This window comes from Homo sapiens, chromosome 11 (genome assembly GCF_000001405.40).
Source record: "Homo sapiens chromosome 11, GRCh38.p14 Primary Assembly".
NCBI classification, from domain to species: domain Eukaryota; kingdom Metazoa; phylum Chordata; class Mammalia; order Primates; family Hominidae; genus Homo; species Homo sapiens.
In genome coordinates this window covers 112,695,699-112,708,057 of record NC_000011.10, presented here as the reverse complement: position 1 = coordinate 112,708,057, position 12,359 = coordinate 112,695,699, and the positions used below count along the sequence as shown (strand labels likewise).

Here is a 12,359-nt window from a genome sequence, read left to right as displayed (position 1 = left end):
ATCTCCCTTGCAAGGTCTAACTTAATACAGCCAGAAGCAAGCTTTAAAACTGCTGTTATGGGGGCTTTGGCTCTTTGCAAATAACAGGATTAGCAGGAACCTCAGGAAACTGCTCCAACGGGGAGCCATTAGCCAGAATCACTGTTGCTGGGCACCCGGACTGAGTCTACCAGCATGGCCCCCTCCAGGCGCGAGTGGGCCGGATACTGTTGTACATATTTGGGCTTGCTGAAGTCCTTAGGCCATGTTGACCTCAGGAGCAGGGAAATGGCTGCCATCCCACTTTCCCTACTCAGTAGAGACATTTTGCATACATAGCAAACCTGGAGGCCAAGTGGGAGAGCAGATGAGTAGGAAATAGAAGCAAACAATGAATTCAAAAGGTCACTTTTTACTGATTAAGATTGCTTTAGCCTACTTATACTAAAAATGTAGCATCAGCCTCAATGGACAGCTTGGTACTCCAGCCTAGGTGACAAAGTAAGACCCTGTCTGAAAACAAACAAACAAAACAAAACAAAAACAGTACAAGTTCTGAGGCCATATCTCAGACCTATTGAGTCAGAACCTCTGATATGGAGGCTTATGAATCTGTATTTTAAAGAACTCTCTGGGCATTTTCTCAAGTTTAAAAGGCATTGCTCCGGATCCTTGTCATCCCTGTGGCTTTTCCTAAAACACTGGTAAATCTAAGGGGCTGTGGGTAGGGAGTAGGGGTGGGGAAGGGAGTGTGGAAGGTCACTGGTAAGGGAAAGGCCCCAGATATCATCCTCTGGGAAAAAAAAACAAAAAAGATCAGCTAGCCTGAAAGGAAAACATCAGTCACTTAACTGAGTGGGTATTTGTTGTACCAGAGATTTCATCAATCTGCAGTAAAACCCAGGTGTCTCAGCCATGTGATGGGCATTACAGGGTAAGACTTTTAGGAAGGAAAATTCCTAAAACTGCATGTGTCTGCTTGGCTGTTCAATATTGGTGTCCTGGAATTGCGCAATGTGGCACCCCTGCTGATGTACCCCTGAGGTCAAAGCATTTTAGATCTAGAAAGGACCATATGTCTCAATCCCTTCAATATATAAACCAAAGGAGGTGAACTAATTTGACCAAGATCACATGGTTAATTTAGCATCAGAACCAAGAGTTCTGAAAACTCAGATTTCTACCCTGGCAAATGAGTCCTCAGAGAATAATTCAAGAGAAGCAAAGGGCTAAGTGTTAAAAAATATTAGTTTTATTTCAACAACAATAACAATCACAAATATCTGAGAAGATGGGAATAGTTAGGTAATTTACAAGCTAATATACTATACAGTGATTAAAGTTACATTTATAAATATAAATATATATTTTTATATTATTATACAAATATTACATGTATAATGAAATTTATAAAGATATATATATACACACATGCATGCACACACAAATATATTGCCTATGTGTGTTTAAACAGGTTAGAAAATTGTGAATTGTGTTATAAGAGGCTTTCCCAAACCTGTTAGATCCTGTTCAGTTACTTCTGACCCCACCACAACCCCAGAAGGTGCTCCTCACTCCATAGCACCCATCTATGCAGTCTCCTGAGTCCAAGAAGAAGCCATAAGTCATTCTCAACCCTGGGCTGAGAATCATCTGGGAAACTTAAAAAATAACACTACCCAAATCCAACAGACCAATTTAATCAGGCTCTGTAGAGGAGATACCCAGACATCTATATGAAAAACACAACAAAACAAATCAAATCAAAACAAACCTTCTGCTATAGTTTGGATAGTTGACCCTCCAAACTTCATGTTGAAATTTGATCCCCAATGTTGGAGATGGGGCTTAGTGAGAGGTATGTGGGTCATGAACGGCTTGATGTCACACTTGAGTTATTGAGTGAGTTCTTACTTTGTTAGTTCCTGTGGGCACTGGTTGTTAAAAAGGGCATGACAGCCTTCTCCTCTCTCTTATGCTTCCTTTCTTGCCATGTGATGTCTGCACATACCAGTTCCCCTTAAACTTTCATCATAAGTGGAAGAAGTCTGAGGCCCTCAGCAGAAGCAGATGTTGAAATCATGCTTCTTGTACAGCCTGTAGAACTGTGAACCAAATAAACATATATTCTTTATAAATTACCCAGCCTCACATATTCCTTTGTAGCAACGCAAATGGACTAAGACAACTTCCCAGATAATTCTGTTGTGAGGTGAATACTGAGATTCATTGAGCTTGTCAAGTTAACCTTCTGACTTTGAGTGAACCTCATGCATACCTTGTTGGTAGCTTCAGGGACCAGTGCAACAGGAGGCTAACAAAGCTGGTTAGAGTATTGTCACTCTTGGCCTAGAACTCAAAGAACTTATATATTTTCTTGAGTTCATCCACTATATGACTGCAGTAGATTAAAGATGGTCACAAATTCTTTGCTACTTCTTCCACTGAGAGGTAGAAACTATTTACCTCCCCTTGAATTTGTGCTGACCTTAAGGCCTTTCTTGACTGGCAAAAAAGAATATGCCAGAAGGGACATTCTGGGACTTCTCAGGTTAAGTCATAAGAACTTTTGCAACTTCGATCCATGCCTCTTGGCACATTTGCTCTGGAGGAAGCCATCTATCTGCAGAAGTTCAAGTACCTTGAGACCACCATGCTATGCAGAAGCCCAATTTAGCCACTTGCACAAGCCATGTGGAGAAAGAGATCCTGGCTAGCCCAGCTGTTCCAGCCACCATAGATCAGGCACTCGTCATGCCAGTGAAGAAGTTGTGTTGGACATTCCAGTGCCAACAGATGCTCCAGCTTTCCAACTGGAGACAGATCTGGCTCCAGATGGTTGTAATTCTTTATTCTTCATCTCTCCATAGCTGGTGACACACATATCATCATTCTGAAATTCACCTTTTCTTGGCCCACCTCTCATGTCTAATCAATAAGTAGATGGTAGAAATTTGTGATGCAAAGAAACATAGGTAGCTGAGATATCTGTGGGGTTTAGTACAACAGATTTTTCAGGAGTATGGACTTCAGATAGTTATTTCCTAAGGTAAATGCTAGTCCCTGTGTCCTCTTGCCTAGCCTGGCAGAACATAACATGTAGCCCACCACATTAAAATGCCAGTATTGTCAGGGTGAGTACAGTGCACATTGCTGTATATCTGGTTTTGATGCCCTAATAGAGTAAACATAAATTAGGAATGTGATAATGCCAGAGGAGTTCTTTAACAGAGGACTTTATTAAGACTATGAAAGGAATTGTTGAAATTCTAAACCCAAATTACTTATAATAAATACATACATACTACAAAGCTGTAAGCTTCCAATTCCTCTTCAGAACTGTCATGTGTATGGTGAAAGGTAAAGGTCTAGTTTCATTCTTCTGAATATGGCTAGCCAATTATCCCAGCATCATTTATTGAGTAGGGATTCCTTTTCCAATTCCTTGTTTTTGTCAGTCTTGTCAAAGATCAGATGGTTGTAAATGTGTGGATTTCTGAATTTTGTATTCTGTTCCATTGGATGATGTCTCTGTTTTTGTACCAGTACCATGCTGTTTTGGTTACTGTAGCCTTATAATATAGTTTGAGGCCAGGTAATGTGATGCCTCTGGCTTTCTTCTTCTGTTCTTAGGATTTCTTTGGCTATTTAGGCTCTTTTTTGGTTCCATATGAATTTTAGAAAATTTTTATCTAATTCTGTGAAGAATGTCATTGGTTGTTTGATAGAAATAGCATTGAATCCGTAAATTGCTTTGGACAGTATGGCCATTTTAACAATATTCCTTCTTCCAATCCCTGAGCATGGGATGTTTTTCCATTTATTTGTGTCATCTCTGATTTCCTTCAGCAGTGTTTTGTAGTTCTCCTTGTAGAAACCTTTCACCTCTTTAGTTAGCTATAGTCCTAATTATTTCATTTTCTTTGAATTGGTGGCTATTGTAAATGGAATTGTACTCTTGATTTGACTCTCAATCTGGACATTATTGCTGTATAAAAATGCTACTGATTTTTATACATTGATTTTTGTATCATGAAACCATGCTAAAATTGTTTATCAGTTCTAGTTGCTTTTTGGTTGAGTCTTCAGGGTTTTCTAAGTATTGAATCCTATTGTCAGTGAAGAGAGATAGTTTGATTTCTTTTCTTACTTTAGTACTTTTTATTTCTTTCTCTTGCCTGACTGCTGTGGTTAGGACTTCCAGTACTATGCTGCATATTCTTGCCTTGTTTCCATTCTTGCCTTGTTTCCATTCTCAAAGGGAATGATTCCAGCTTTTGCCTGTTCACTGTGATGTTGGCTGTGAGTTTCTCATAGTGGCTCTTATTATTTTGAGATATGTTCCTCTAATGCCTAGTCTGTTGATGGTTTTTATCATTAATAGATGTTGGATGTTATTGAAAGCTTTTTCTGAATTTATTGAGATGATCATGTCATTTTGCATTTAATTCTGTTTATGTGGTGAATTACATTTATTGATTTGCATATGTTGAACCAACCTTGCATCCCAGGTGTATTAGTCCATATTCACACTGCTATAAAGAACTGCCCAAGACTGGATAATTTATAATGAAAAGAAGTTTAATTGACTCACAGTTCTACATGGCCAGGGAGGCCTCAGAAAACTTACAATCATGGTGGAAGGGGAACAGGCACCTTCTTCACAAGATGGCAGGAGGGCAAAGAGCTGGGGAAACCACCACTTATAAAACCATCAGCTCTTGTGAGAACTCACTCACTATAGGGAAACCTGCCCCATGATCCAACCTGCCTCCCTCAACACATGGGGATTACAGGCCCTTCCCTCCACAAGTGGGGATTACAATTCGAGATGAGATTTGGGTGGGGACACAGAGCCAAACCTTATCACCCCTCTAGTACGAGTGTGTGTGAAGGAGGAACTGTCAAACACTTATAAAACCATCAGATCTCTTGAGAACTCACTCAATATCATGAGAACACCATGGGGGAAACCATCCCCATGATCCAATCACCTCCTATCAGGTCCCTCCTTCTACACATGGGGATTATGGGGATTATAATTTGAGATGAGATTTGGGTGGGGACACAGAGACACACCATATTGCCAGGAATAAAGTTACTTGCTGATGGTGGATCAACTTTTTGATGTGCTGCTGGATTTGGTTTGCTAGTATTTTGTTTAGGATTTTTGCATCTGTGTCCATCAGGGATATTGGCCTGAAGTTTTCTTCCTTTGTTGATTTTGATATTAGGGTGGTGCTGGCTTCATAGAATGAGTTAGGAAGGAATTTCTCCTCCTCAGTTTTTGGAATAGTTTTAGTAGAATTGGTATCTGTTCTTCTTTGTATATCTGGTAGAATTTTGCTGTGACTCCATTTGGTCCAGAAGATTTTTTTGGTTAGTAGTTTTTTTTTTAAATTATTATTACTGATTCAATTTCAGAGCTCAATATTGGTCTGTTCAGGGTTTCAGTCTCTTCCTAATTCAATCTTGGGAGATTGTGTTTTCAAGAATGTATATCTATTTTCTCTAGATTTTCTAATTTGTGTGCATAGAGTTGCTCATAGTATTCTCTGAGGATCTTTTGTATTTCTGTAGGATCAGTTGTAATGTCATTTTTGTCATTTCTGATTGTATTTATTTGGATACTCTCATTTTTTTCTTTGTTAATCTAGCTAATAGTCTATCAATCTTGTTTTTTTTTTAGGAACCAACTTCTGGCTTTATTGATCTTTTATATGGATTTTTGCATCTCAATTTCATTAAGGTCTCCCCTAATTTTAGTTATTTGTTCTATACTGCTAACTTGGGGTTGGTTTGTTCTTTTCCCTTTAAATGTAAGACCTCAAACTATAAAAATCCTAGAAGAAAACCTACGAAACACCCTTCTCAACATCAGCATTGACAAAGAATTTTTGGCTAAGTCCCCAAAAAACGTTGCAACGACAATAAAAAATGGCAAGTGGGACCTAATTAAACTAAAGAGCTTCTATCTTTAGTTTTAAAGAAACCATCAAAAGAGTAAACCGGCAATCTACAGAATGGGAGAAAATATTTGCAAACTATGCATCTGACAAACGTCTAATATGTAGAATCCATAAGGAACTTAAACAAATCAAAAAACAGAAGACATAACCCCATTAAAAAATGAACAAAGGACATGAATAGACACTTCTCAAAAGAAGACATACAAGCAGCCAACAAACATGAAAAAAATGCTCAGCATCACTAATCATCACAGAAATCCCAATCAAAGCCACAATGAGATACCATCTCACACTAGTCAGAATGATTATTATTAAAAAGTCAAAAAATAACTGATGCTGGTGAGACTTCAGAGAAAAGGGAATGCTTATACACTGTCGGAAGGAATGTAAATTAGTTCAGCCACTGTGAATAGCAGTTTGGAGAATTTGCAAAGAATTTAAAACAGAGCTACTATTTGACCCAGCAATCCCTGAGTATATACCCAAAGGACAGTAGATCATTACACCAAAAGGACACATGTACTTACATGTTCATTGCTGTGGTGTTCACAATAACAAAGACATGGAATCAACGCAGGTGCCCATCAACAGTGGATTGGATAAAGAAAGTGATAGATATACACCATGGTGTACTATGTAGCCATAAAAAAGAATGAAATAATGTCATTTGCAGCTACATGGATGGAGCTGGAGGCCAAAATCCAAAGTGAATTAATGCAGGAACAGAAAACCAAATACTGCATGTTCTCACTTATAAGTGGGAGCTAAACGTTCAAGCACACGTGGACATAAACACAGGAACAATGGGCACTGTGGACTGATAGAGAGGGGAGATAGGGAGTGGGGAGTGAGCTGGAAAACCACCTATTAGGTACTATGCTCACTACTTGGGTGCAATATACCCATGTAATAATCCTGCACATATACCCTCTATATCTAAAATAAAAGCTGAAAAAAAAACTTCATGTTAGTAATGGAACAGAGTCTGTCTGGCCTCGTCTAAATGCCCCTTCTTCCATGTTATGCAGGTCCTTTTTTATACATCCCATATTGCTCAGCAGCAATGTCTGGCTCTGTAGGGTTCTTTGTTTCTTATTCAAGTTCTAGTCTTTGCTTAAACCATTTTCGAACTGGAGTCTTTAAGAACCAGCTGATTTACCTGGAACACTTGGTTTCTCTATAAAATCATCTATAAAATGTGGGGTGCTTGTTTTATTTGTTAATCCTAAGAATGGCTTTTTCTCTCTGCCCCAAGCACTGTTTATGCAACTATATTCCCCTTGGTCTTGATAAGTGTTTCTAGAGGGAGGAAATATCTAAACTCCTTTGATAAGAAGTATAACTTCCTTATTAAGTTTCAACCTAGAGATGGCTTTCCATTATACATTCTGCGTAATACCATAACATATTGGTAGTAGGAGCTTACTGGCATAATAGTACATCATTTCATGCTCCCTATCACATGGATCACATGTATGCCAAGTACAACCATTTATATGAAAGCCTGGAGGAGTCAACACAAAAACAATATTATTGTGGAGGAATTACTGGTAAAATTCTCTTTTTCCCAAGTTTGCTTAGAGATATTTCTGCTTTTAAAATTTAAATAACTTTAAAAACTAAATCTGTGCTATTTCCAACAAATTATACTACCTCTAATATCCCTTCTTTGGATTCATTGAAAAAGTTTCTCAAAGAGGGGTTTATGCCTTTCTACCCATTGAACTCCAGGAACCCAATTTTTAGAGAACATGTTCTTAATTTTTTTGACCTTCTGGTTTTAATGAAAATATATCCAAGCAAGGAAGAGTAGGAATACAACTCGGAGTTCCCTGTGGAGCTTTTGGGTTGGGCCAGGTTGTGATTTTCCTTGAAAACAACAAAAAGACTTCAGCTCAGGGAAGGAAGAATTTCATTGACACCAAAACTAGTACTGTCACTTTTCTGGGGAGACGGTAAAGCTCTAGGGGATAGCCCAAGCAGGTGCTAGGTTTTAGAGCCAAGAAATTCCCATGAGAATTGCTGAATTTCACATTATTCCTAGAAATAACTCAGAGCTTTATATTATTTACATGGGCTGTACAAAACATGGGCTTCCTGTAGGTAACTCCCTCCACCTGCTTTGGTTCTGCAAGCCTCATTGGGCCAGATTTCCAAAGTAGAATGTCCACTATTGCACCATTGCTGATCATGAATATGGCTGAGAAAATTGCTAGGTTGAGTTGGTTGCCCAGCTCACAAGGATCTCACTCTTGGTGAGAGCTTGTATACACAGAAGTGGCCCAGAGGCTGTATTGGTTCTATATGAACATGATTTTGAGCCTAATAGTAGACACAGAAGTGAGCACCTGACCAAACTAGGCTAATCAGAGTCTTTCTGTGGAGTTTTGAAAACTGCAAGTAAGGGAAGAAGATTACTTCTTCACTGATGGCAGGGTCTAGGACATGAAGCTTGATAACTTTTAGTGACTTTATTTTCCTCAATGCCAAGGAAACCCCTTTCTCACAAATGAGGGAAAAGAAATGGAGGCTAAAGATTTTTTTTAAACTCCTTAGGTCATTTAATTCCTTAATTCCAATGATTTCTGAGGTCTCTTTCCATCTATAGTTATATTTTTCAGTATGCATCCAATACATTCCCATTTGTGCCTAAGATCGTTTGAGATACATTTCTAACACACTGTGATCAAAAGCATCCTAATACAAAGACCCTGCATGGTAGTAAACCATACCAATCAGTCATACAGGAATTCCCCAAGTCCTCTGGTCCCCCTACCTTCTGATGGGGGCAGATTTGATCAAAAGCTACTGGCAAGTGTCATCAGTCACCCTGCTGAGGAAGGATGAGAAGAGGGCCCCCAGACTCAACCTGGGTTGGTGTTTAAATGCATGCATGTTTCTTTGCTATTTTGACATCTCTGAAAAAGCAATTCCTTTCCAGCTTTCTGTTCTGAGAGCCCAGACTTCCAGGTACTAGTCCTGAAGAAAATGAATTCTTCGAAGCTCGCCTGCAGATTTCTTTTCTTGAGCACTACCCCTTCATCCCTGCTTCCACATGTGAGATCCCCAGGGCTGGGATAAAGGTGAAGTGAGCAAGTCATCTAGGACACAACATTGAAGGGGACACCACTCTCACAGTTTTGCAAATACCTTCAGCTCCTCACTTGCCTCACCCTGGTCCTGGCCTGGATGATCATAGGTACCTCACCTGGGTTCATGGTGCAAAGTGTGAACATTCAGTATGGTGAACTGAAGAAAAACAAAAATCGAATGAGAAATCAAAAAAGCAGAATTTTCATTTTGACTTTATTACTAACTCAACATGATATCAAGAAAAACCTGTAGCCTGTCTGAGCCTCTGTTTCTTATTGGTAAATTAATAATAATCTCTTTCTATCTCAGTTACTTCCAAAGAATGTGACAGGAATAACATAAAATCTCATACGGAGAGGTTAAGAGACTTGTCCGAAGTTGTAAAATTCAGCCATTGGAACTTTAGACATAATCTCTTCAGCCAGCGCTAGGTTTGCCAGTGACTCACTACTTATTTAATTAATTAAACAAATAGGCATTAAGTGCCTACTGTGATCAAAACTGTGGGAGGCAGCAAGTGTGGGGTGGGTGCAGAGAAAAATTCAACAAACAATATGTTCTAGAGGAAACGAAAGTTGGGTGAAACTGCCATCTAGATCTTCCTGCCCCTACGCCCAGTGATTCCTGTGACCCTATTGCTTTCCTTGCCTGGCTCTGAGTCTTGCCAGATGTCTGAACTTTGACTTACTTTTTATGCTAGGTCCATCTTTATCCAAAGGCCAATCATCAGGAGGCTGAGAGTGGCTACAGGGCTTACCCTCATTAGAATTGTCTTGGGGGGAAAAGGAATTTAGCCCCAAGAACAATCACCCATATCCTCAATGTACCTGCCCCTTAGTCCCAGACCACTAAGACAGAATTAGCTGATGAGCAGGTCTAGAAGACAGAACTCCCAGGGAATATATTTTATTGCTGTTTTTGGTCTTTCTCGACCTTCAATGACACAATCCTATATTTTGAAGTCCAGGATAATTGGAAATAAAATGAAATCTCCTCTGTTCAGAGTTCATAGCACCTCTGAGCAGTGGCTGCCGATGGAATTGCACTGTATATTTAATACTCTGCATTAACAGGAAAGGTATAAAGTCCCCTGCAAATCTCTGCTCTTTTGCTGCCCTATCTGGGGCAAGACATGCCAGCAATTTAACAAGCACAGGGGTGTAAATCATGCAGTGAAATCTCTCACCATGGGAGGACAAAGAATCCCTAAGAGAATGAATAAAAGCCACCCAGCACTAGGCATTTTGGGAGTCAGCGTTCGTGTCTAAATGTTAAACATTTACATTTTACAGCAAAGTGACATTTGTAAAGGAGTCCTATTGCTCATTTGCAGCCGTTCCTCGCTGCTGGCCAGGGGCTTGGGGCTGGGGCCGGGTGATGAATCAAAGACGCCCTTTGTGTCATGTCACTAAGCAACTCCCTCCTCTTCTGTCGCTCGCAGAGTCTGGGCTGGGCACACAGCCTGTGTCATCCACATGGTGGATTTACAGGTCTTGATTAATGCCAGCAAAAGTTTCTTGAGGAAAAGGCAGCTGGGTTTGGGCTCTGGCCATGTCTCAACTTTGTGCTAGGAGTAAAACATGGAGCAAGTGGAGACTAGCACAAGTGGACAAGGCCAGCCCCAGCCCTTTGTTACTGGCTCCCAAACTGTCTAGAATGAAGCTTCAGTCTAAAGAAGGCAAATCTATAGCACACATGCTGACATGACTCTCTCTGCCACCCAGAACAGACATCTCACTAATAGATCATAGCATACTCTTCCCTACTGAGCCAGATAGCTCTTAGAATTGTGCCTCAGGCACATTCTAGGCACTCATTGCCAACTGGCCAGTTGGTACATAAGATGAACCTGTCACCTCTGTTTTTGGTCTATGTGTCAAAGTCTGTTTCCTGACTCTAGTTTCAGAGGATTGGAGGTTTCAGGAATTCTCCATACACAGCTATCTCTGATAATAGCTAACAGTGGTAGTAACAGTTAACACATGTGCTTCTCATGGGCCAATCACTTTACACGGATTAAAATATTTAATCCTCACAAAAATATGATATCTATATCACCTAAAAGTAATAATATCTGTCATTTATTGAATACCTACTGTGTATTGGGTAGTACATTTGATTCTTTAATCTCCACATGGTCGTGTTTCATAGTGAACTGAAAGCTCAAAGAGATTAAGCAAATTACCCACAGCTCCACAGCCAATCAAAAGGAAGAGCTGAGATCTGAACCCCAAAAGGTCTAATTCCAAAGCCATCATTCTTAAAAAGATATTAGACCTTGACCAAGGTCTAGTAAGCGGTTTGCACATCAGCAAACCGTTTTGACACTCTCATTTAATTTTCTTCTTTACTGCCCAAGGGGGAAGGGGGAAATTTTTTTTTTCTGCCAGAAACTGGCCCTAGACTTTCTCTAACTTCCTGCAGCTTTCCTGCTAACATTCCTTTACCCTCCCTGTCCTTAGGACTCCTTCCAAATAGGTGAGCCAGTAAGCTTTTCCACAGGAAGAGAGGGGAAGAGAGGATTAATGCTACAGACTGGATAGCATTGAATTGAAGGAATCCATTTTCTTATTCTGCTAGCAAGCAGGACTCCCTGCATCTCCACAGCTGACATGAAGACTGGAGAAGGTGCCGACTTCCCAAGCTTGGTGCCAGGGAAGAGCTGCCATGGCTGCTCATTTCAACAGGGAAAAATGAGCCACGATAGCCTTTTCTCTGTCCCTTCATGCTGAAAACTTGAGCTGGACTGAGATTCTCTTTGTTCCTCTCAGCTCTGAGAGGCCGAGGCGGGCGGATCACGGGGTCAGATCAAGACCATCCTAGCTAACACAGTGAAACCCCATCTCTACTAAAAATACAAAAAAATGGCCAGGTGTGGTAGCATGCACCTGTAATCCCAGTTACGTGGGAGGCTGAGGCAGGAGAATCGCCTGGACCCGGGAGGCAGTGGTTGCAGTGAGCCAAGATCAGGCGACAGTACTCCAGCCTGGGTGACAGAGCGAGACTCCATCTCAAAAAAAAAAAAAAAGGTCTCAGCTCCCAGTCTTTACACCTGATGTTTGCTCTACCAAGAGCTCTTATCTGCTAGCTGTGATCTGTTCCTCCTCCACTGGCTCCATGGCCTCCTCACTCTGCCATCTCTGTCTAGCCAGCTCCCACTCACCATTCATGTGTCCCACTTCCTTGGCAAAGCTGAACTAGGTGCCTCCTCTATGTTTTCCTTAGCACCCAGCACTTCCTCTATCCCAGCAACACTCCACTCTAGTGTACTTGCCTGGTCTGCTTTCTGCATTGGGCCATGAGCTTAGTTAGGACAGG

General features: G+C 40.6%; 1 long non-coding RNA gene across 3 annotated transcripts in view, besides 1 other annotated feature; it reads left to right on the top strand.

Annotated features, from left to right (window-relative positions):
* Nucleotides 1-9,286, top strand: part of LOC105369496 (uncharacterized) — a 38,770-nt gene extending 29,484 nt beyond the window's left edge. For all 3 annotated transcript variants that reach the window (XR_948018.3, XR_948017.1, XR_948016.1), the window contains one exon: nucleotides 8,890-9,286. This is a non-coding gene — a long non-coding RNA (uncharacterized LOC105369496). The remainder of the gene's footprint in view (nucleotides 1-8,889) is intronic.
* Nucleotides 2,754-2,923: an enhancer, noted in NCBI's record as "experimental_18813 CRE fragment used in MPRA reporter constructs". NCBI's record gives its function as "activates a minimal promoter by MPRAs in K562 erythroleukemia cells, with activity observed for both the introgressed and non-introgressed 11:112575943 variant alleles {active_cell/tissue: K562}" and the evidence as "EXISTENCE:reporter gene assay evidence [ECO:0000049][PMID:34662402]".
* Nucleotides 9,287-12,359: the final 3,073 nt, after the last annotated feature.